The sequence below is a fragment of the Homo sapiens genome, chromosome 15, assembly GCF_000001405.40.
Source record: "Homo sapiens chromosome 15, GRCh38.p14 Primary Assembly".
In the NCBI taxonomy this organism is placed as follows: Eukaryota; Metazoa; Chordata; class Mammalia; order Primates; family Hominidae; genus Homo; species Homo sapiens.
The window spans coordinates 57,423,198-57,448,893 of record NC_000015.10 but is presented as its reverse complement, the minus strand read 5'-3'; the positions used below and the strand labels follow the sequence as shown (position 1 = coordinate 57,448,893).

The 25,696-nt window shown below is 41.6% G+C and overlaps 1 protein-coding gene across 22 annotated transcripts in view, besides 3 other annotated features; it reads right to left on the bottom strand.

Moving 5' to 3' along the window:
- The window catches only part of CGNL1 (cingulin like 1), a 174,213-nt gene that overhangs the window by 101,824 nt on the left and 46,693 nt on the right, over positions 1-25,696 (bottom strand). For all 22 annotated transcript variants that reach the window (XM_047433184.1, XM_047433186.1, XM_011522121.3 and 19 more), the window contains 3 exons: positions 9,293-10,909; positions 8,423-8,517; positions 6,416-6,521 (listed from right to left, as the gene is read on the bottom strand). In XM_047433184.1, coding sequence (XP_047289140.1) covers positions 6,416-6,521; positions 8,423-8,517; positions 9,293-10,894 — 1,803 coding nt within the window. In that variant the 5' untranslated portion in view covers positions 10,895-10,909. The remainder of the gene's footprint in view (positions 1-6,415; positions 6,522-8,422; positions 8,518-9,292; positions 10,910-25,696) is intronic.
- Positions 15,204-15,704: an enhancer, noted in NCBI's record as "H3K27ac hESC enhancer chr15:57725388-57725888 (GRCh37/hg19 assembly coordinates)". NCBI's record gives its function as "activates a minimal SCP1, AML or CMV promoter by ChIP-STARR-seq in naive H9 embryonic stem cells {active_cell/tissue: H9 hESC(naive)}" and the evidence as "EXISTENCE:reporter gene assay evidence [ECO:0000049][PMID:30033119]".
- Positions 20,284-20,784: an enhancer, noted in NCBI's record as "H3K27ac hESC enhancer chr15:57720308-57720808 (GRCh37/hg19 assembly coordinates)". NCBI's record gives its function as "activates a minimal SCP1, AML or CMV promoter by ChIP-STARR-seq in naive H9 embryonic stem cells {active_cell/tissue: H9 hESC(naive)}" and the evidence as "EXISTENCE:reporter gene assay evidence [ECO:0000049][PMID:30033119]".
- Positions 20,876-21,452: an enhancer, noted in NCBI's record as "NANOG-H3K27ac hESC enhancer chr15:57719640-57720216 (GRCh37/hg19 assembly coordinates)". NCBI's record gives its function as "activates a minimal SCP1, AML or CMV promoter by ChIP-STARR-seq in naive H9 embryonic stem cells {active_cell/tissue: H9 hESC(naive)}" and the evidence as "EXISTENCE:reporter gene assay evidence [ECO:0000049][PMID:30033119]".

The window sequence follows — 25,696 nt, the reverse complement described above, 5'->3', positions numbered from 1 at the left end:
GGAGATAACACATTCCAGAACATCTATAACTCATCACCCACTCGGTCTAGCATACAATTAAAAAAAAAAATCCTTAGACATGCAAAGAAGTAGGAAGAACTAACCAGTAACTAAATAAAATAAACAACAGACATAGAGATGACCCAGATGTTAAAGTTAACAGATAAGGACTACAAATTAACTATAACTAATATTTTTAAAATAGAAACAATTATGGACAAAGGGTTTTTGTTTTTTTTTTCTTTTGAGACAGAGTCTTGCTCTGTCATCCAGGCTGGAGTGCATTGGCCAGATCTTGGCTCACTGCAACCTCTATCTTCTGGGTTCAAACAATTCTCCTGCCTCAGCCTCCCAAATAGCTGGGGTTACAGGTGCGCACCATCACACCTGGTTAATTTTGTATTTTTAGTAGAGACAGGGTTTCACCATGTTGACCAGGATGATCTGGAACTCCCGATCTCAGGTGATCCACCCACCTTGGCCTCCCAAAGTTCTGGGATTACAGGCATGAACCACCATGCCTGGCCCTTTTTTTTTAATCAAGTTCCAGAGATAGATTCTATAAAAATATAACCAAGTAGACACTCTAAAACAGCAGTACACAATATCTGAAAGTTAAGAACTCACTGGATCACAGCTCACTGTAATCTCAAACTTCTAAGCTCAAGTGATCCTCCTACCTCAGCCTCCTGAGCAGTTATGACTACAAGCATGAGCCACCATGCCTGGCAATTTTTAAATATGGTTTTTGTAGAGATGGGATCTCACTATGTTGCTCAGGCTGGTCTCAAACTCCTGGCCTCAAACAATCCTCCCACCTCGGCCTCCCAAACTCCCAGGATTACAGGCATGAACCACTGCACCTGGCCAAAGAAAAGTTCTTAAAAGAACCATCCTTTAAATGAAGGATGAAGAAAAACATTCTTTTAAAGACATCTTAAAAGAGAAAGTCTTAAAGTAAGATTGACGTAGCCAGAAAACAAGACTAATGAATTTGAAAGGTCAATAGAAAATATCCAGAATATCTGATGCCCCAAACATACAACATACACACACACACACACACACACACACACACACACACACACGAAAAGAGAGAGAATAGAGCACAAGAGATATGAGGAACACCATCAAAATTTCTAAGATACATGTAATTGGAGTCTGAGAAGAGCTGGGAGAGACCGAATGTGAAAGAAGCAATATTCAAATAAATAATAGCCAAGAATTTTTCAAATCTGATGAACCTATCAAGTCGAGAGCTCATTGAACCCCAAGAAAAATAAATAAAAGAAAAACCACTCTTAGGCACGTCATAGTCAAAATCTAACAATTGACAATAAAGATAAATTATTAAAAGCACCCAGAGGGAAAAGACACATCACTTTCAAGAGAATAACACTAAGAATGATGGCTGGCTTTCCAATGGAGCCAACTGAGGTCAAAAGACGAATAACGTCTTTAAATTCATGAAGCAAAACAATACTTGCCACACTAGAGTTCCTGAAAACTGAGAGTGAATGACAGCTATTCTCAAACAATGCCCACGAAAAGTACTAGAGGATATTCAAAAAATAGTTCTCCAGGCTGAAGGAAACCAGTCCGAGATGGAAACACAGAAGTACAGAAAGGAATGAACAGCACTGGAAAGGGACTACATCTAAATGAAAGATGTGCGAGACCTCTCTAACAAAAATGACGGAACGCTGCTGAGAGATGCTAAGACATAAATAAGTGGGGACAAAGTTCATGTTCACAAATAAGAACACCAATAATATTAAGACGTCAGTTCCACCAAATTTATCTATGCATTTGGTATAATCCCAATCAAAATTCCTAGAGGCTTTTCTTGGTGGAAGCTGACAAGCTGATAAAAGTTTATATGGAAAGGCAAAAGACCTAGAATAGCTAAGATAATCTCGGAGAAGAATAAAGCTACCAGATCTGAAGGCTTACTAAAGTGGCAGTATTTAAACCGTACGATAGTAGTGTAAGGAGAGACAAGTAGACCAAAGTAATGGAAAAGAGTCTAAGTATTACAGAGGATATATAGCCACTGGAACTGGCATGCTGCACTACCAGGAGTGTAAATTGTTTCAATCACTGTGTAAAATCATTTGGGAACATTTAACAGTTAAAAGTACACCTAATTTACAACCCACAAATTATACTCTCAGATATATTCTCAAGAGAAATGAGTGAGTGTGTTTACAAAAAAAAAAAAAAAAAAAGTAATGTTCAGTTTGGCATTACACCTAGCAGCTAAATACCAGAAATGACCACTAAGAGTATACACTATGTTGACTGATTACAACAGAAAACTACATTTCAATACAAAATAGCTACCAGTATATGCAACATTAATGAATCCTGCTGATATAATGTTGAGGAAATGAAGCCGGACACACGAGAATACTTATTATAATACATATTGTAAAATTTTATGTATGTAAAATTCAAGAAAGGCAAAACTACTCTAGGTGATAGAAGTCACGATATGATCACCCCCAGAAGGAAGGGGGACAATTTATGGGGAAGGAACACAGGAAACCCAGGAAACCTGGGTGATGGGAGTGTTCTATATCTTGATCTAGATGGTATTTGCATGGAAGCAAACCTATGTTAAAAATTCAATGAACTGTATAGATGGAATTTGTGTAATTTACTTTATATAAGTTATACCCCAATAAAACAATATAAAAACAGATATTTGTTGAAGACTTATCTGTTTGCTAAGTTATACCCAAAGCCCCTGCCTCTGTGTTCCCAAGACCCTTTATACATATATTTGTTACAGTGTAATCTACATTACACTAGAGATTATTGCTGAGTCACCGCCAGTGAGATTCCATCCCTCTCTGCATAGCCTGTATGCAAGTAGTAAATAAGTGTATGTTAGCTAAATTGGCTTTCTCCTTTTAGATGTTACATTTCCATAATGAAGAGGGATCTGATTGAAGAGAGTCTATTACAAAATATTATCTCTCTGATCTGAGTATGAATATTAATGGATCTTTTTTTCTTCTTCTTCTTCCATGAAAATAACATGATGATTCTCTCAAAAGGATTTGGCTAAAATCCTACAGTAAAGTGGTTAGAAAACTACAAATAGCTGAGGGGAAGAAATAAAAGTAGGAATCAAAGCTAGAAACGGCGGCATCTTGGCTCACACATCCCTGAATCCAGGTGCAAGTTGTGTGTGATAAACTTGGAATGAGGTACTTCCCTACCTACTCCTGTGAAGATGATTAGAAACACAAACACACAACTTCCAATTTTCTTAGGCAAAATAACAATCCATTTTAGAAACAGAAATCCAACCCAGTGAGGGAAATTATACATTGTTCTTTCCCATACAAAATCTCTACCTGCTTTGCTGTTTTCCAGTATGGTCTCCGTCCCTAAGGGAGAGGGTTCTTACATTCTCTCCTAATCACTTAAGTGACACCGCAAAGATAAAACTCTAAAACCTTTGCCAGCAAGTAATCAGATTCCAAACCTAAGAGGGAGGGAAGAGGAGTAGGAAAACGTGGCAATTAAACAGTCATGGAGCTGTAATAGGAACCTGAAGTCTAAAAGTCTTGGTTCATTTTCTCATCATCTCTTGATTTGGCAGCTTCTTTTGTTGTTGTTTTTAAGAGACAATGACTCATTCTGTCACCCAGGCTGGAGTACAGTGGCACAATCATAGCTCACTGCAGCCTCCACCTCCTGGTCTCAAGTGACTTCTGCCTCAGCTTCCTGAGTAGCTGGGGCTACAGGCATGTGCCACCTCGCCTGGCTAATTTTTTAATTTTTCTAGAGACAGGGTCTCACTACATTGCCCAGGCTGGTCTCAAACTCTTGGCCTCAAGAAACCCTCCCTCCACAGCCTCCCAAAGTGCCGGGGTTACAGGTGTGAGGGACCACACCTAGACAGGCATTAGCTTTTCATTGGTCTCTCTTCCTCTAATCTTACCTCTTTCCAAAAGCCACAAAAGGAATAAACTTTCACAAACACAATGGTATTCACATCTGTTTAAAATCCAACAATGGTAACCCATCCCCTTCCCAGCCCGAAATGGAAACTTCTTACATAACTTCCAACTTCCAATGTCCTTGCTACCAGGCTCTTCCTCAGCCCATCCTGGCTCTGTGTTCCCACTACACTAAATTCCCTCTAACATGGCAACCCATGCCTCTTTATATTTGTCTGTGCTAGTCACTTAACTTAGAACACCCCAGCTTCCCTTCTTCTCACAAATAATTCTATGATCTCTTGGGGCACCATTAGTGTCACTGTCCCTAGAAGGGCTACCCTGACTTACCCAGTTCAGGCTGTTCACCCCTAGTCTGTGACCCACAAGGACAATCTCAACATCAAGGCCAAAGACTGCGCTCACTCTAAGAACAAACAGGTATAATTTACGAGTTAAACACATGCCTAACTCACAACTCAGCAATTTTACTTCTAGGTATATTCTCAAGAGAAATGAGTGAATGTGTTTACTCCCCTCCCCAAACAAGTACAATAATGTTCACAGTAGCTTTATTCCTAATAGCCCCAAACCAGAAATGTACACCAAGAATACACACTATGTTATACAGATACAATGGAAAATTACATTTCGATACCAAAAAAAACTACGAGTACATGCAACACTAATGAATCTTGATGATATAATGTTGAGGAAATGCAGCTACACACACAAGAATACATATTGTGAAAATTTATATAAAAGTCAAGAAAGGCAAAACGACTCTAGGTGATAGAAGTCAGGATATGATTACCTCCAGAAGAATGGGGTGTAACTGATGGGGGAAGAAACCCAGGAAACCTGGGTGATGGGAGTGTTCTGCATCTTGATCTGGTTGAGATTTGCATGGATGCAAAACTATGTTAAAAATTCAATGAACTGTACAGATACAATTTGTGTAATTTACTTTATATAAGTTATACCCCAATAAAACAATATAAAAAGGATATTTGTTGAAGACTCATCTGTTAGCTAAGTTATACCCAAAGCCCCTGTGTTCAAGACCCTTTATATTGCTCTGTAACAGCCGGTGAGATTCCAACCCGCACTCCCTGCATAGCCTGTATGCAGGTATACAAAAAAACAAGAATCGTGTTGATAATTTGGACTTCAGAGTTTTAGCAAACAAATACTGGACTGACTTTAAGAACTATGTAGAGCTCCTCAAGGCTATGTATATGCAAGGACTATGGTGTAATACGCAAGGACTATGGTGTAAAGATTCCCCAGTGGGAATTGCGTATGTGTGTGTACGGCATTGTTCTATTTGAGGCCACAGCAGCAGTCATGGGTTAGCTGAGTGCTGGGGGAATAACAAGTAGTAAAGATGGTAGGTTGACGCCTAAAATTATCCCCTGTATGTACGCTTCCCAAGTTAGAAAGAAGCTACAGACAAGTTTCCTGTTACCTGCCTCCAGGTGTCTTCCTCTTTCCTTCCCATGCAGAACTCCCCTGGGAGGGGAAAGGAAGATGGACAAGCAAGAAATGAGTTCCACACAAGGCGGTGGAAGATTGAGGAACGAGTGTTTAGCCGTACTCTCTTACGAGTGGCTTCCTTCCAGGGCACCAGGTGTGTCTGACATAGAGTAGTTGTTTATCAAATGTGAGAGGGCTCCTTCCTTAACCAAAAAAATCTCTATGTCCCCACTCAAATTCAGCACAATCAATCAGACAGGCAGTTATTTAAAAACTAACTTGGCACCACTGGGCTCTTTCCTGTCCCCTGCACCACAGCTGATCAGTGTCACCAGTCTCTAGTCCCATTCTCTTTCACACCTGAAGCTCCAGAGCTTGGGTCCAAGCCTGTTCACACTTACCTTCCATGTTTGCCTATGACAATGCTAGTCTTCCTATTCTTATTTTCCTCTTCTAAATCTCGCCATCTGTTTGTATCATCCTGTTATAGTCTATGTATTTTTAAATAAAATATCTTTAAACTTTTCTGGAAAAAAGGCTGGGAAAGGCCAAGCATGGTGGCTTACGCCTGTAATCCTAGCACTTTGGGAGGCCAACGTGAGTGGATTGCTTGAGCCCAGACGTTCGAGACCAGCCTGAGCAACATGGTGAAACCCTCACCCTACTAAAAACACAAAAATTAGCCGGGTGTGGTGGCACATGCCTGTAGTTCCAGCTGCTTGGGAGGCTGAGGTAGGAGGATGGCTTGAGCTCAGGAGGCAGAGGTTGCAGTGAGCCAAGATCATACCACTACACTCCAGCCAGGGTGACAGAGACTCTGTCTCAATAAAATGTTGCTGCAACATGTAAAACATGAAGAGTACTCCTCACTACTCAGGCAACTTCCCACTTACTGCTATAAACAAACATACAGACTGAAGAAACAGCAAGTTGTTTACCACATTCCATGCTAAATGCACTCTACAAAATACAAAACTTCCATTTACTTGGTTATTTCCTTGGGCGCTCCCAGCTGCTCGAGACTTTAAGGTCTGGATTTTCTCAAAGACCAAGTTGACTTTCCTTTTAGTAGCATCGTCATTATCAGTGCTTCTGAAAAAGGGACAGCAGAGAAAACAATGAGGGACACAACCACTGGTCTCAGAACAATTTATATGTCATGACACACACCCAACAGGTCCTTTAAGGAGATAATTTGCAGGAGCTGTGAATTAATTAAAGCCTCAGACAAAATCAGTGTGAGAGTAGGATGGATGGTGTCTTTTTTTTTTTTTTTTTTTTTCAAATAAATGATGTGTTACCACTCAATTTGGGACAGGGTTCCCACTTGCAAATATGTGAGAGGCACATAAACACATCCTCAGTAAGCTTGGAGAAGACACCCAGTGAACATTTAGTAATTTGTTGTTTGATTCAAATGCTCATGTCCATTCCAAAAAGAATTCTCCTTTTCTTTGAAGTGCGTATGTGTATATCTCTCTCACACACACAAACATGCTGTACATCTGAATCTTACACTAAGAATGATCTACAATGATCTTAATTTGTTTAACCTATGTTTAAAAAAATAAAACCCCTAAGCCAAGATTATCAGCATGGCAGCCCTTTGTCTGGGCTTTCACAGGTAACACGGAGATACTAAGTTTTATTAACTTCTACCACACCGTCAGCAATTAGAAGAAAAAGATTTAAAATAAACTTCCTTCAACAGGCACCTCCCACTAAAGTCTGTCTTACCAATGTCTCAATAAATCATGTGCCAAAAAATACATACATAAAAGAATTTAATGAATTTTGGCCAGGTGCGGTGGCTCACGTCTGTCATCTCAGCACTTTGGGAGGCAGATGCTGGTGGATCACTTGAGGTCAGGAGTTTGAGATTATCCTTGCCAATATGATGAAACTGTGTCTCTACTAAAAATACAAAAATTAGCCAGACATGGTGGCGCACACCTATAATCCCAGCTACTCAGGTGGCTGAGGCAGGAGAATCTCTTGAACCTGGGAGGTGGGGGTTGCAGTGAGCCAAGATCATGCCACCGCATTCCAGCCTGGATGACAGAGTGAGACTCTGTCCCAAAAAATAAAAAAAAAATAATGAATTTTAAAAGTCAAGATTTCTTCTACCTTAATCTTAACATGGTAAAGTCTTCCACAGGGAGATACTAATAACCAGTTCTTAGCTAGATTAATCTTTCAGGTTACTTTTTTTTTCCCCCTTTCAAAAGATCCCCTGTTTTATATTTTGAGCCTTACTATGTTGTTAGCTCTAAAACTGACAAATAATTGTAAGGCACAATACAAAAATATACAGTATTTTGATACCAATGAGGATTTGCCAAGTGGCTGGTTTTCAGTCATGTAGGCTGTAAAGCTTTTTTTTTTTTTTTTGTCCTTCCTCTTAATCACATCTGTTGAGAGAACTGAAACAGAAACCTCAAATTCCTTGCTCAAGTTCCAGCACAGTTAGTATCTAAGTAAGGGCTGAAACCCTGATTATTCCACCTCAACCACCAAGATAAGCATGGAAAGCACTGCTTTTAAATGACTCACACATGCTTTAAAAATAATGGAAGCAGGGGCTCTTGGCCAATGTTAACTCTGGGGAGGGGAGGTGTTTTTATTTGTAACTTCTAAAGGACTACCACATTGCACGGAAGAACTCAAGGTGATGGCGGACTCCATTCAAACCTGAAGAGTAGAAACTCCTCCTATCTTTGAATTTGCTTTTGAAATAGTAAAGGGTCACTTTAAAAATGTATTCATTTTAATTTTTAAAGTATGGTGTCCTTTCCTACACACCCCTCCCAAAGCCCCCACCCCATACCACACAAGACAAATGCCGTCACGAAAACCCCAGCCATTGAGTTTTAACCCTCCAACGGCTGGCACAGGGCAAGAAAGGAAGGTAACCATTAAAGCCTCGGAAAAGGAAATTAAGAGTCCCACCAGAAACAACAATACTTTGCTCTTTCAGAGGGAAAATCACTAACCCTTCTTTGAGGTAATTGTAGAGAATCTGCTTAGCTGTCTCCTCATTGGTTTGCTGAGTGAGCTCTTGCTGGCCCTTTAAGAGATCCGGTGTGGCCTGGAACATAAGGCCTGTTGTTAGACCATGAGGATGAAGTTCCCAGAGGCTTCCAAACACCAAACAATTCCTCCAGTGAGCATCCTTCTTAGAGCCAGTTACAACATTTACCAGCTTCATAATCTTGGGGAAGTTACTTAACTTCTCCTCGCCTCAATTTTCTCACCTGTAAATTGAGGTTAATAGGTACTACCTGCACAGGGTTGGTGCAATCCTGTAATATATAACAAACAGTGCCTAGCACTTAGCTACTTTTTTTTTTTTTTTACCATTTTATCAATATCATTATTTTTTATTGTTACTATCAAAACACTAAATGTGCCACTTAGATTCTCACTTGACAATTAACCTAAATGAAAATTAACCTAATTTTTCAGGCTAGAAATTAACCCAGTCACTCAATTTTATGAGGAAAATTAATATACCTACACAAACCTAACTATTCAGCCTCTGTGTAGAAACAAATTCTGCATACTTTCAGATTTCATGCATACACAAACAGAACAATTGAGCCTCTCTGTAGCGTCTGCCAAGTTACTTTACAGAGAGATCACAATGGGAATCCAGCTGAACTTCAAAGAACCCAGAAAACTATACAATTGGCAGTAGGACATCGTCAGTAGGACACAACTGGATCCTGAAACAGATCAGCTGTGTGATTCCTGATACAAGATTGAGGATGTGTAATTCCTATGGCCTCCTGCAGCATAAGTACATCATTACATTATTTAGAAGGAAGAGAAAAAAAACCAAACAGGAATCGCACTAGTGTTACCTGAGTATTTGAGGCCGAAGGAAATGTCTTCACGGAAATTTTCTTGGCACCAGAATCAGGCGAAGTTGCTGTTGCCCGGTTCTGTAACATCAGCGTAGCGGTGGCTGTTTTCACCTCCTCCTCCTTTTTACTCTGTGCACCAAGGGAGGGCGCACGGATCACTGTACTTTCCTGACTACCTTCGGTTTCCAGAACTTTCCCATCTATGTTCGGCTGGGGAGGCCTGGAGTGGGCACATGAAGCCCCGTGCGCTGCTCCCTGCAGCTTTGCAAAGGTGCGGCCCACGCTCTGTTTCCCACGGCGCTCCTGAGACAGTGGCCGCTGCGGGCACACCTGGGAAGGCCGGAGGAGGTGTTCGCTTGACTTGCCCAAGTTCCTACTGAATTCAATCAGGTACTCCGAGTTCCCTTGGAGGCCAAAAGGAAAGGCGCTATCCACGCTTCTGGATCTTTTCCTGTCATCTGTATTAATTCTGTTTCGCTTCCCAGACCTTCCTCTTCTCTGAAGCCCAGGTTTTTGATCAAATTTTTCAATTAACTGATCCACACCAGGAATTGATCCTGTATCAATATCCCGTCCAGTTCCTGGCAGGAAGGGAATATACCTTCTGTTTTCATGACGATTGACGTTGTCGGCATGGATGGCACATTCCTGATCATCCAGTAAAAACCTGTACAAAGAGTTGGCTGACGTGGGAGTTGTGGATGACGAGGAGGACCTCCGGGACCGAGCTCCATCCAGGACGGGTCCCGCTGAATCCTGTCGCCGGAAGGGAAGAACATCTGGCCTGGTTTTCTTGGTTTCAGGGTGGGCATGTGGGCTGTGGGCAGTCAGGGGCCTCCCGCTAGTGAAAAGGGCCTCCTCTCCCACCCTCTCCTTGGTGCAGCTCTGAACGTTTACACACACTGAGGTCTGCTTTTTGGGGTCCTCTATGACCACGGAGCTGCATAAACGAATAGCTGTCACACCAGATTTGGCCGGGTCTTCCAAGGAGGGACTGGTAGGCTGGGAATTGCTAGGTTTGGGAAAGCAAGTCCAAGGCTTCTTATTGTTGATGCCTTCTTCTGTCAACGTTTTTAGCCAATTACTCTCAGAAGGCTGGTGATTTTGTAAATTCAACTCATTCTTTTCAGGGTCATAGGGTTGCAAAAGCTCTGGATGCCTCTGAAAGTTCAGCAGGTGAGATGGCTTCACAGACCCGTCTTTGCGATCTAGAACTCCATTCTTGCCCTCATGGAGCAGGGGCTGTTTCAGGTTTCTTATTGGGCTAGGCTGGGCGTATGGGTTTTCTGGAAGCTGAAGTTCTTCACTGTTCTCCTTTGGCACAGAACCATTGCTGGAATGTAGAGGCAGGTTATTTATCACTGGAGGTGGAAAGGGTGGCCCATTTTCAGAAAACGATGTGCCTGCTAGGCACCGTTCTGTGTTATTCAGGACAATATAGGGGTGACCATCAATTCCCTGGACCCGAATACTGACACCGTAGGAGCCTGCCTTGGAGTTCTGGGAACTCCTTGATTTTTGGGTATCATCACTTGCGAGTCTCAGATGGACCCCATATTCCTGCTGCACATGTTGATATTCACCGAAATACAGCTCCATGGTTCACTGTTCCAGCTACCAGGGAGAGATGGGGTAAAAAGAGGACATTAGGTTAGAATTACATCTGTTTAAATGAAGACTGAAATAATTAGGAAGGGGAAACTTCAAAGTTCAAAGAAAACAAGACATTTTAAACAGCAAAGACACCTCAGAACCAAGTGCTGAAGGGCAGCCCTCTGGTGACCCAGCAGGACTTTCTGGATGCCCTTCAGCCCACGTGGCCACTGAGTTTGTCACCACTGGGTTTGAACCCTGGCCTGAGGGCAGACAACCCGTGTAATGACCTGACACTTTTGGCGTAGCTTCATTATTCTGACTTTGTTATTCTGTTTTGGGCTGTTCTGGTTGCCTTTTTTTTTTTTTTTTTTTTTTTTTTTTTTGCTGTTTAGTTGGTTTCCTGAAACTTTATGCTGTTTATTTTTAACCAATAGGATGTTCCAGTTACCAGCATTTGAGAACTAGGTACTTTTCCATGAAAATAATTAAGAGCTAAGGAATTCTGACGCTCACCATTTTTCTTTGTTACTCTGCAGTTCATTTTCCTCTCAAAACACTTTCAGCCTTTTTTACCCACAATCTTGCTGCAAAATCTTTAACACTACTATTTGAATATAATGTTTCCAACACTTTTACCATAAGGAATCAGTTGTTTGTGAGACTGACAGTGAAATTAAATGATTATAAATCATTTTCAATCTTTTCTTCTTAGCAAAAAAGTTCAATAGCATATTGATCTGGAAAATATTATTTAAAAAATGAAGAACACTCAGGGCTCTGTGTTTTGTGATGGGTCCTGATGCCAAGAATAGTTGCCGTTGCCTTTCTGGTGTGTGGCCAACCTTGCCAGATGACTGCAGAGAGCTCACCAAGCAGGATGCTCACCCTGCCTCACACTCCGAGGTTCCTCACCAGAAATTCACTTCTAACACTTTGCAAAACAGCAATGGCAAAGGGACTCCAGGAAGAACAGTAGCAACTGGTCACAAATAACAGTTGTCTTTTTTTTTTTCCACTTTTGAGAGACTTTTTGAGTTTTCTTTCTATTCTAGAGTCAATCTACTAGCACATTTTCCAAGAAAATCATCTATTCCATCCAATTTTCAAATTTATTTGCAGAATTTGGGTAGGATAAATCATTTATTATCTAATGTTGTGTTTTCTTCTATTTCTTGATTACACTGGTAGAATATATATGTGTATGTATTTTTTTAAATTGTTTCCCTAAAGAACTAGCTCCTGGATTTATCAAGCATTTTTTTCTTTAATTTTCAACTTTACTGAGTTCTAGTTTGATTTTTATTATTTCCTTCCACTTTCCTTTGTTTTATTTTGTTGTTCTATTTCTGACTCCTTGACTTGGACGCTTTACTTGTTTATTTTCATTCTTTAATCACATAAATTGTGGTTTGTAACTATGTCACTTAAAAATTATGTCAGTTCCTACTAATAGACTCCCCACATAGCAGCTTAAGACAGGAACTTTTCCCCAGAGATAGGAAGTCTAGGACTGAAAGAGACCCTGGGATAAGGAGCACCCCTTCTATCTTTCCACTCATCTGTCTTTAACATGTGATTAAAGATAGCTTATGATTATGATTACAAGATAGCTGATCCAGCATCACATAGCCCAAAAGCTTAGGCCAAGTGACTCAACCTTCTTTTTAAATAGCTTTCCTGGAATCCCCACCTAACAATAATCCCTTATATCTTATTAGTGAGAACTTAATCATATGGCCACCCCCAGCCGCAAGGGAGACTGGAAAATAGGGTACTTAAGCTGGTCATCAACATGCAACAAAATCAATGTTCTGTTAGTAAAAAGAGAGAGGAGAATGGACTTTAGAAAGGCAGTAAACAGTTTCCACCACAGTAATGTTTCTATTACTATTTTCTAGATAGTTTCTCTTTGGGGTTTTGATTTCTGCTTTGACCCAAGATTTGATTCTGAGAAAGTTGTTGCATATGTAGTATTTTGTTGCTGTGCTGTTTTTGTTTGGAGGGTCTTTATTTGTAAATGTTGCTAATCTCTACCTGTATTGTGGTCAGAAAATGAAGTCTCTACCATTTCTTCCTTTTTAAATATATTGAGCTTCCCTCTGTGAGCAAATATACGGATAATGTTTGTCAATGCTTCACAGGTACTAGGTGTAGTCTCCATTTTAAGGGATAACATTCAAAATCTATCCATCTGTACAACCTTAATAATTATGTTGTTTGGCTCTAGCACATCTTTACTTGTTTTGTCTCTCTGTTCTGTCTTGGGGCTTTCTGAATATATTCAGTTTCCTACCAGTAGCATAGTGTTGTCAGTTTTGCTTGGTGATAATTCTTTTAAATCTCAAACATTTTAGCTACTATCATTTACCACTTTAAAGATAGGAACAACTCAGAGAGGTACATTCATCTGTAATATTTATCATTATCTCACCAATTCCAAATATTTCATTGTCAACTTTCATTTTCAGTTATACTAGTATTTTTAAATAATTTATTTTTTAATCAAAGTAAAATAAGTGAAAACCTACATTCTTCAGCTTCCCTTCCCTGATCCTGAACACACTGCCCAGGAGGAAAAAAAAAAAAACAAAAAAACCTGCAAATTTCAGCTATTTCTTCTAATACTTACCTCCCTTTTGCTAAACAATATTCCTGACTGTGATTCCTTAACTTATTGGTTCTACATAGGGTGGATACCACACCATACATACAAGTCTCTCACTTGGCTAACCTACCAATAATAAAATCAAGAGTCAACTATTTACATTATTATGACAATATAAATATTCACTAAAAAATTATATACTATGGTCTTACAGAACTTTTCTTATAAAATTTTTACTTTTCTAGCGTTAATGATCGATTACTGTTTTACTTGTCTTTTCTATACACCTATCCTTAAATCTTTCCCTCAACTACATTACATCTGTGAGATGCTTATCGGTATTAATTTCCAAATGATCAAAATATCAGGTAATTTGGTGACCTCTTTTTTACAGTCTTCCCTCCTCCTACCCTATATTAGGGTCTCATTGCTCTCTTCCTTTTGTGTTATATTATTTTCTGGGTTTCATGTCTTCCTCTTTGTTAGTTTACCCAATTGGTCTGATAGAAGACACTTCCAGTAGTTTTCTAAGAAAAAGTCCTATGGAAAAAAAATTTGACTCCTTGTATTTTGAAAAATGTCTTTATTCTATGCTTACTTTTGATTGGTGGTCTAGCTGGACATAGAAGCCAGGTTAGAAATAATTTCCATCGTATTTTTTAAAGCTTTGCAAACTTCATTATCTTCTAGCTTCCAAGGATGTTTTTAAGAATTCTGAAGCTCATTGTACCCTTTCCTTTGTGTGTGACCTGTTTACGTTCCCCTTAAAGCTTTTAGGACCTTTTATCACTGGTATTCTGAAATTTCATAATGGCATACCCAGGGGTGGGTTTTATAAAATTGGGGAAAGTGGACTCTTTTATAAAACATGAGCACATAATATATATATTCTTTCAATTTGGAAATTCATGTCTTTAGTTCTATAAAATATTTTTGCATTCTTTCTGTGATAATGTTCAGATTACTATTTTATTTTGTTCTTGGTTTCTGCATCTACTATAATAGCAATGTTGAATTTTTTAGATCACATTTTAATTTTTCATATTTCTTTTCTCTCCTGCTTTTTAACTCCATCTTTTTTACTCTACTTTTCAGAGATACAACTTCAACATTTTTTAAATTCCAGTATTTAATTTGTAATACTCAATAGCTCTTTCTTGTTCTCTAATTGCTCCTCTTTCATAAATGTTATTATTATTTTGGATATGAAATAACTTCTCTCTGCAAGGAAAACTGTAACTTTCTTCTAAAAACACGTTTTCTCTGCTTTCTGCAACAACACCATCTTCTGCAAGGTTGTTCTTTTCCTGTTTTGGCCCCTACTTTTCATATTGAAGGCTTTGGTAATACACCTGATGAACCCTGACTGCCTGATCCTATTTAAGAATGAAGGACCAAAGCAGATTGGTGGCTCTGCAAGTGTGGAGAAGACTATTAGTTGGTGAGTGTCAATTAATGTGAAAGAAAAAAGTATTCCACTGAAGAACCCATACATTTCAGTTATCTGGGGGCATTTTTTTCTGGAGTTGTTCAATTTCTCAAGGAAAGTCTTCCACTTCATTGCTGGGGCTGCACACGCCTGGCTGCTGCCATCATGGACAGAGCAGAAGAGTGACCAAGCTCCCAGCTGTCATCAGTCTCTCTTTTTAGTCACCCCCACCAACACCCCAACACCATTCCAGTTCCATTTCTCCAGAGAACAGACCTCCAGGCTGCTGCTGGGGTGGGGAAGGGAGACAGGGACAGGGTGTAGGGTCTAATTATGCTGGTTTTAATAACTCCCTATATTTGGCCAATCTCTCTGGCCTACTATGGTAACAATGCCTTCCCACTTCTGAGCCTCTCTGTGGTTCTGCAGGCAAAGCACCTCATTTCAGCAATGTGGGCACTTTGGGTGGAGGGGTCTAACCCTCAGCCAGCCCGGGGATCACCCCTGCATCATTGCAGGAGTTGCCACCAAAGCCTCCACTGCCATTTTTTGCCTCTTGCAGGTTTAAACATTTTTTCTCCCCTTACTACCATTTGAGTGGAATTTTGAAAAGGAGAAGAACTTCTAAACTTATCTGGTTTGACAAGGCTACTAATATCATAAAACAACTCAATACTAAGGACAAGTACAGCGAGCTTGCCTTAGACTAATGAAGTGATGCGTGAGGGCTGACACCAAAATAACCAGGTGTGTCTTAACCCCTTTTTTCTGAGCAGCATTGGCATATTTTATTCTGCATCTCTAGAAGTCTTCATATTTGTTAAAGTTTCTAATAATCTTTTTAAACAGAAGAAATTTTTTGTGTGTGGTATTTACTAAATGGGGTTATTCTACTCACCAATAAGTGTTGTAAGAAAAATCAGTTCTTATGCTGACACTGACTTTTCAATGAAAATATTTCCTCTTTTATTAGTAAAATTCTTGTGCAGGATTTATGGTCCATTCAAATAGCTATTCCTACTACAGTCAACACTAATTACATTTCAATCTTTGAATAAAGCCACCTTGGCTTATTACAATCTTAGCTCCCTGTTGGTCAATTAATCCACATATTTAAATTTCATGAAACATCCACAATTTACATTTCCTTGACAACAAACCTCAATCCAATAATTTCATGGAACAACATTTCTCAGCTGGGCACTGGTGTCTTAAGCAAATGTGGATTTCCTTCCCAATCAAAGTGTAAACACTGAATTAATTAATGAATTTAGGGACAGCTGTTCTCCACTTCCAGGCACTGGGCCACGTTTACAATCCTAATGCACACCACAGACACGCTTGCGCCGTCGGGGACTAAGCCTAACCAAAGGCTTACATAATTTGGCAGTAAACGCTGATCAATCGCCAGGATGCAACATTGTGGCACTTGGCAAATAAAAGTGGTGTTTTGGAGTGGAAATAATACTTTATGAAAAGACTGCTAAATGATGATAATTGCTTTAGTTAGCGAGATCAGCGAGTGTGTTTGTAAGAACAAAGGGCTTAGCTCTTGGAAGAACTATGAACATATGCCAGATAGAAACATTTCCTCTCTCTGGGCCATCACATGTTATCAGCTGAGCATGGAGATTAGTCACGTAATGCTGGTCCACACATCCCCGCCCCACAACTCTAATTCTCAGTGGCACCTCCAGGACCTGCATGCATATTCACCAGCCATTCCAGGGGCCCTGTGGCTACGGAGGAAATGCAACCAGGCAATCTGAAACCTTCACCTTTATGCTGTGGCTGGCCCTTGCCTCCAAGGACAAGAGTCCCCATCAGTCAAGCCAGGCTGGCCCAAGCAATCGGCATAGTACCTAGCATGGGGCAGAGACTCTAGGTATGTTTGCTTTGAACAAGTAATTCTATTTTACCATACAAATCACTTAAAAGAGCATCTAATACAGTGGGTAGAGAGGTGATGAGTCTCAGTGCAGTCTTGAGCTTAATTCTAGGAAATAAGAATTGACCCACCAACCAAAAAGTAATTTCCCCTGAGTGGGATCCTGTGACTGCCTCATTTAAAGAGAAGATACTACCAGGCTGATGATAAACATGAGCTAAAACCTCTAAATCCGGGGTGGCCAATCTTTTGGCTTCCCTGGGCCACATTGGAAGAAGACCAATTGTCTTGGGCCACACATAAAATGCACTAACACTAATGATAGCTGATGAGGTTTAAAAAAAAAATTACAAAAAAAACTCAAAATGTTTTAAGAATGTTTACGAATTTGCTTTGGGCGCATTCAAAGCCATCCTGGGCCACAGGCAGCCCACGGGCCGCAGGTTGGACAAGCTTGCTAAACAGTGGTTAACACATTTACTCCTAAAGGATGTGTCTGTGGAACTAGTGGGAAGACAGAATTTTGTATGGGGATATTCACACTAGAACCTCAACCAGATGAAATTGAAAGATCAGGGTGTGGAAAGCCAAGATTAGCAAAACACATATTAGTTTCAATGTATTCCCTAACATGACAGAAAGAGGCAGCCTTACCTAAACTGAGCTTTATGTTTTCTCTCTACGTGTTTTGTAGTGCAAATGTAGGAAACTGACCAAACTCTTCAGATTTTAAAGGAAGTGTCTTTGTATACAGTCAACCCTTCAGAACTCCCTGGGAAAACAATTTCAAAAATAAACTTGAGGTTTGGAAATGAAAGCAGAGTTGCTCTCTGTTTCACACAGTTCAGGATGGTTCGAATGTCTTCAAATGAACCTGACAACTAAAACTTTTCTATTTGGGGGGAAAAAATAAACTTATAACATTGAGTGCTACAGCTTCCCCCTAAACCCACCTTGTACAAAAAGGAAGATGGCAAAAAAGAAAAGCCTGTAAAAAGGCTCCTTTTACTAGGGTTGGAGACCTAGGAGAATCAACCAGGAGTCTGAAAATCTGGAGTTGGCCAGGCGCACTGGCTCACGCCTGTAATCCCAGCACTTTGGGAGGCTGAGGCAGGTTGATCACCTGCGGCCAGGAATTCGATACCAGCCTGGCCAACATAGCAAAATCCCATCTTTACTAAAAATATAAAACATGAGCCGGCCATGGTGGCGGTCACCTATAATCCCAGCTACTTGGGAGGCTGAGGCAGGGAGAATCACTTGAACCCTGGGGGTGGAGGTTGCAGTGAGCCAAGATTGCACCACTGCACTCCAGCCTGGGCAACAGAGTGAGACTCCATCTCAAAAAAGAAAATGTGGAGTCACTGGGACTCAACTCATCTGATCCACATGGCCTGGCCCTGAGAGCATGGGCACCAAGTGGCTCTCCCCCAAGAAGCCCCCACTTCCCCCTGGAAGTCTACCCGCCTCGTTTCCCTGTGGATGGGTCCCACTTCCCTTGCCCACTTCTCTTAACTGATTAGCACATATATCACCACTTAATTTACGGTGTCCATATGTTATCAATTTAACTTTTACTTTTTAATTTGTATTACTTTAATAAATTCAGTGGTTCGTATTTTATATTCTTCATGGTTACTGAAAAAAATACAGAATTCATGTCCCAAAAAAAGTGTTAGATAAGTCATTCATCCTTTTCACCTCTTGAGGCTTAAAATGATTTCTGAAAGTTTCTCCTACCAGGGCAGAGCTAAGCTACGAAAGTTTAAGGTTCTGAAGACAAGTAATGGCACCTGACTCCGAGATGCAGAAGCAGGAAATATTTCTGACATGCGGCTCAAGTCCAATATTGGCTCTGGAGAAGTTCTTTAATTTCTCTGTTTTCCTGTCTCTAAAGTCAGACTGTCAGTGATGACTTCATAAAGTAATTAGGAAAATCACATATTGTATGCTAAATGAAATGACGAAGATCAGCCGGGCAGTGGCTCACGCCAGTCACCCCAGCACTTTGGGAGGCTGAGGCAGGTGGGTCACTTGAGCCCAAGAGTCTCAGACCAGCCTGGGCAACACAGGGAGACCCCATCTCTATGAAAAATACAAAAATTAGCTGAGTGTGGTGGTGCGCACCTGTAGTCCCAGCTACTCAGGCGGCTGAGATAGGAGGATCAGCTGAGCCCAGAGAGGTCAAGGCTGCAGGGAGCTATGATCATGCCACCCCATGCCAGCCTGGGTGATAGACTGAGAGACCCTGTCTCAAAAAATAAGAGGGATCTGAGAAAGATTTCAATGTAGCATTTATGGGCACAAGAAAGCTGGCTTTGTTCATAAAATGTTTTGAAACACTTATGAGAAAAAGACTAAAAACCCCCACTAATTAACCAAGCAGCATTAACCACCAATATCCTGAAATAATTTATTAACTAATGAAGAAGCCAGAGGGCTAAGAATCTAAAGTACAATGCTATGTCCATAGCGGAGATTTAATAAATATTTGTTGGGTGAATAAATGAACATCTTCATACTGTCATGTACATAGAAAACCTCCCAACCAGAGATAACAGATCCACACCGTTTGTGCTACAGTTTCCTCTACGAAGCCTAAGTCCAAATTATATCAATAAAGGGTTATTATCGTTTTCTCTCTAAGCGCAAATCTGGCTTCAGAATCCTCCTCATCACTGCACCCCTGCAGTCACTACCAATTGGTTGGTTAGTGCAGACACAAAATAAAATGCACTTGCCATCCCTGACATATGATACTTACCTAAACCTACACTGAAGCCAAAATGTCCAAGAAATAAATTACCCACCCCCCAAGTCAAGTGGAGTCTTCTTAGATTTCTCAGTGTTGTCACTGGTAATTGTGTAGTCAACTCAGCACTGAAAAGCTACTCAAACTCAGGGCATACCTTATGCTCAGGTTCACACTGTTGGCATTAATACCATTAGACCACGCTACCAAGAGGAAGGGAATATTTTTGCAAGTACCCAACAAAAGAAGCTTCTGTTCTTAAACTGTGCAGCTGCACTTTTTTTTTTTTTATTGCTGTTGTTGTTTTGAGATGGAGCCTAGTTCTGTCGCCAGGCTGGAGTGCAGTGGCGCAATCTCGGCTCACTGCAACCTCTGCCTCCTGGGTTCAAGCAATTCTCCTGCCTCAGCCTCCGGAGTAGCTGGGATTACAGGCACATGTCGCCACACCCAGCTAATTTTTGTATTTTTAGTACAGACAGGGTTTCACCATGTTGGCCAGGATGGTCTCGATCTCCTGACCTCATGATCCACCCACCTCGGCCTCCAAAAGTGCTGGGAATACAGGCATGAGCCACTACGCCCGGCCCACAGTCTGTTTTTATGACCTTTACTTTAGACATTTTTTTTTCCTCCAGTAAAAATCTGTCTCCCTTCACCTATGAAAATCCTGTTCTTTCTTCGAGGCTCACCTACTGGAGGCAGCTCCTGCCTCTTCCTTGGCATTCCAGCACAGACCAGCACCACACAGCTCAACACAGGCTCTCCAGCCACGGCTTCTCTGGTAGATTAGTTTTGTCCCAGCAACCACATTTTAAGCTTTTTCTACTGATTCTGAGTCAGACACACACATCATCCCTCCACGAGGCCAGCCCCGGTGATTTCTTTGTACCATCTTGTCTGATGAGATCCTCACAGCACCTCTTCTCTCCACTTTAGAGATGTGTAAACTCTGGCAGGTAATTTCCTCTGAGGCCTTACACCTGGGCCAGGGGCAGCACCAAGATTTAGACCCAGACTTTGTCTCTAAGACCTGCACTCTTTCTTGAGCAGAGACCACATTTTCACTTTTCTGCCTCCCACAGTTTGTATTTAATTATGCTCACATGGTCACTGGAGGGCTGTGGACCACAGCATGTCACCATGTCCCGCGGCACTGGTGTGCCACCAAGACAAGCTCTCATCTGTCAGAGCTCAGTGGAAGTGTCACTCCTCGGCCAGGCCTTCCTCCTTGCCACATTTCTGGCATCCAGAACAGTGTTTCACACATAAATGAATGAACTAATAAAGCATGCTCAATGTACACAGCTCTCTGAACTTTGTTTTAAAATGTGAACAATGTAAAAGAAAAAAAAAAAAGTCAAGGTTTTCCATAACAAATACCCATCCTTCAGGCATCTCCAGCCCCAATATTTAAAACTGTTTAAAACATGAGAACCAGATCCACAGCCTCAAGGGGGCTTTCCTTCCCACCTCCAGCCTCCACTTCACAAGGTATGTATGTTCCAAAAGTAGAAATTAGGCCCTGGGGTTATCAAGTATCTCTTAAGGGAGGCATGGGGGGGTGTGGAATTCCAGCAATGCCAGCTATAACAAGCCTGGCTCCCGGAACATCCTCGCAGATGTCTGCAAAGTGAATTCCAAAGCTCAGTATTCTCCCTCGGAATATGTTGTGCTTTCAGCAAAGTATCTCTTTCTTCTCGGTCACTCAAAACAACAGATCCAATCAGGGAAAATTAGCCATCTTTGTCCTCATCAGGGAAAGGGGTGAGGGAATGTGCATCATGAGCAAATTTAGCCAAATGATTGCAAAATCCAGAGCCACTGGGGAAGCGTCCATGCCATGCAGCCTTCCCAGCTCCCTGGGCGTCATCGATTCACAAACCAACCCAGTCTCATAAACGCATGAGTCAGTTGTTTGCACGGGTCCCAGAGAGACTGTGCTATAAATGATAGGCACCTGTATTTGTCCACAGAAACCTACTCTGTATTGTATAGTGTGGCTATTAAAAACATGGAAGATAACACTGTGTAGGCACCCAAAATGTTTAAAAATAAAATCAAAATAAACCTTCTGAAATATTTTTAGAAACCTAGCAGCTTGCTACATGTATAAATTCAGGTTCTCTGTTGTTGTTCAAGACAGCTGTTACCTGCAAAGTTGATGACACCAGGGACCTCATGCCCCAGTAAGACCTTCCTCCCCAGAATTCTCTCAGATGGGCAGCAGGGGAAGGGGGACTACCCAAACCCAAATCCTAAAGTCACCCCAAACACGCTGTGCCTTGCTCTCACCAGCCCCTCAGGTACTTGCAGAACGGCCATTCATTTAGACACTGCAAGCAGTGCTGTGGCCCTTAGCTCCCTCTCTCCTTCCTAAAGCACCCTCACCCCATTCCAGCCTTCATCTTCTGCCCCAGGCTCCCTGGCATCACAGATCTATATAGATGGCTCTGTTAGCCTCAAATTATATGTGGAAATGAACTGGGTAGAAACAAACACATACACTCAAAGGAAATGTGTGAGGGAGAAGGACCATTCATGTCTCCTTTCAAAGCATGAATGTGTCTCCTGGCCAGTAGCTGTATCTCATCCCTGTAATCCCAACACTTTGGGAGGCTGAGGCAGGCGGATCACTTTACCCCAGGAGTTCAAGACCAGCCTGGGCAACATGGCAAAACCTTGTCTCTACAAAAAATACAAAAAAAAAAAAAAAAAATAGCCAAGCATGGAGACACATGCCTGTAGTCTCAGCTATTCAGGAAGCTGAGGTGGGAGGATCACCTGAGCCTGGGAGGTTGAGGCTGCAGTGAGCCATGATTGCACTACTATAATCCAGCCTGGGCAACAGAGAGAGAACCTGTCTTTAAAAAAAAAAAAAAAATGTGGCCTGGTGTGGTGGCTCATGCCTGTAATCCCAGCGCTTTGGGAGGCCTAGGCAGGTGGATCACTTGAGGTCAGGAGTTCAAGACCAGCCTGTTCAACATGGTGAAACCCTGTCTCTACTAAAAATACAAAAATTAGCCAGGCATAGCAGTGTGCACCTGTAATCCCAGCTACTCAGGAGGCTGAGGCAGGAGAATCCCTTGAACCTGGGAGGCAGAGGTTGCAGTGAGCCGAGATCATGCCCCTGTACTCCAGTCTGGGTGACAGAGCAAGACCCTGTCTCAAAAAAAAAAAGAATGTGTCTTCTTCTTCTTAGCGCCATTTCTTAAGTGCAGAATCCCTTCCTCTCTGATCTCCAGGAGCCAGAAGAAAGGAGGAGGGCCTGGGGCACAAGTTAGAATTGTGGCGGGGGAGGGGGGTCCCTGCCTACATACCTTCCTAAGCCAGGCCCTAGAATTGGTGAGTAAAGGCCATCTACTCCATTACTCCATTATTTTTATATTTAAATATTTTATAATATATAGATGTCTCCAGCAAGAAAAGTTTCACAATTTACATTTTTCAATAACCAGAAATTAGACTGGTAATCCAAAATTGAAGTTTTAATTATATAAACAAAAAAAGGATAATATATTTTAACCTTTTAGGGTTTGTCAGTACAACTTGTGTATTCATATGAATGCGGATTTTTTTTTTTTTTTTTTTGAGACAGGCTCTTGCTCTGTCACCCAGGCTAGAGTGCAGTGGCACAGCCTCAGCTCATTGCAATCTCTATCTCCCAGGTTCAAGCGATTCTCCCACCTCAGCCTCCCAAGTAGCTGGGACTACAGGCACATGCCACCATGCCTGGCTAATTTTTGTATTTTTAGTAGAGATGGTTTCACCATGTTGGCCAGGCTGATCTCAAACTCCTGACCTCAAGTGATCCGCCCACCTTGGCCTCCCAAAGTGCTGAGATTACAAGGCGTGAGCCAGTGCACCTGGCCTGAATGTAGATATTTTAAAATTTCACTCTCTTGAAAGCATGCTAAAATTTGATAGCCCACTCAGCGTCTTTTTATTTTTTTCTTATTTTTATTTTTGAGACAGGGTATTGCTCCATCACCCAGGTGGGAATGCACTGGTGAGATCATAGCTCACTGCAACCTCCAACTCCTGGGCTCAAGGGATCCTCCTGCCTCAGGCTCCCAAGTAGGTGGGACTATAAGCACGAGCCACCACGCCCAGCCTATTATTCTTATTTTGTTAAAAATAGCTTCCTACAAGCAGTTTTGGAATTTAAAACTTTTTCCTTTCCCTGTCCTCAGCCACACCTTCAATCTTGCTTAGTTCCTATTTTAGTCTTTCACAAGCCTGTATAATGTAAAGATGCCTCTAAAGAAAAAAAAATCTCAACGATTCTTAGTGTTCACTTAATGTTTCTCATAAAATGTACAAATATAAAACGATTATAGTTCTTATATTACCATCAATACCAAAACATCTGCACATTAAATACAAATGCAATTACAAAGCCAATATAATTCCAATTCACAACATTAATATGTAGGATGATCATTTTGCTGAAACTGTATCACCTTATATGGTGTGAACAGGGACTTCAATAGTGCAAGTCATGATTTCATTGCACAGATGTTACCTACCTTGTACAATGAGATGCCTCAATTTTCTACCACCTTTTTTTATTCAAACAACTATGAAACCTTCATTTCTCTAGTTTGCCATAAAACTGTTGGGTCTTCATGGGGTGTAAGGGCATCGTTTATGTGTTCTGTCCATCTTGGTTCTTTCCACTAGTTCATGATACTTACAATAATATAACCCGATACCCAAACCATTAAAAACACAGACACTGGAATGGCGTGGTAGTATCTGTGCTCATCAGCTCATCTGGGACATGCTGATACTAATGCTTTATGTAATTACTAACAAGTTCTTACCAAGATCCTATTACTATGCTAGTCACTCTTCTACAGCAGTTAGATGGGGAGACAAGGTCCTTTTTCCCACAGAACCCACACTCTGGTAGGGAGAGTGAGGATGAATAAGAAACTCACATAGCATGGTAAGAAAATGAACTGGGGTAGGTGACAGCGAGGTGATGGTGGTGGTAGTGAAGGTCCATTCTAGATAGACAGTTAAGGAAGCCCTCGCTGGGAAGGGAATATTTGCTTTGAAAGAGAAGATGAGATCTAAGCCGTGTGAGTGCCAGGTAGAGAGAACAACAAGTTTAGAGCTCAGGAAGGAGAAACGTGCTAGACAAATCGAAGAATCAGTGGGAAGGCAGACTTGGCCAGAGCCCAGTGGGAGACGCGGAGGGCAGAGCAGCTAAGGGCAGAGGAGTGGGCAGGAGCCAAACCCACAGGGTGTCGTGGGCCTGAATATAACTCTGGGTTTTGACCCAAGTGGGGCGAGAAGTCACCAATAAGATTCGAGGTGTGACTTAAAGCCGGGGACTGGAGGAGCTCAGCTAGGAAGTCACATAGATGGAGAAGCGAGGATGGAGCTCCAGCACCGAGCTGCGGTGGCTCTGCAGCCCCGCAGCAACAGCATCGCCTGGCAGCACATGAGAGATGCAGAATCGTGGATTCCACCCGAGATCCAATGAATCATCATCTGCTTTTCCCACATTCAGAATGAGGATCTATGCTCTAGCAGGCCAACACTAAGAAGACAGGGAAAAGAGGAGAAGCAGACACAGACAACTGAGAAGGAGCGACCAGGGGGATGCGAGGAAATCTGGAGAGCCTGGCATCCCAGAAGCCCAGAGAAGCTGGGGATGCAAGAAGGAAGGAGGGGTCAGGTAAGCCAAAGGCTACCATTAAGCAGGCAAAGACTGGAGCATCATTGCACAAGACGGGATGCAGATGGAACATGACCTTAGCAAGAACTTTGATGTCAGAGTGGAAGGCATGGAAGCTGGACCAGAATGGGCTAACAAAAGAATGGAGGAAAAATAACTCTTTCAAGGGATGTTAATCATGCAGAAATTAACGTTAAAAAAAAGGCTGTCTCATAAAACAGATACCCATCCCACACTCTTCCCCTTCAGCCCAGTATGAAATCTGCTACATTTATTTCCTCTCTCCAGGGATGTGTTTACAGCCATGGGGGTTGGGGGTACAAATAAAAAGATATAACCTGGTATTTATGCTCAAATATTTCTGAGCAGGACCATTACCTAATTTTATGGACTATTACTTTTTTCCTTCCTCTGGCTGTTGCCTGTTGTCTGAGTTCAGCTGAGC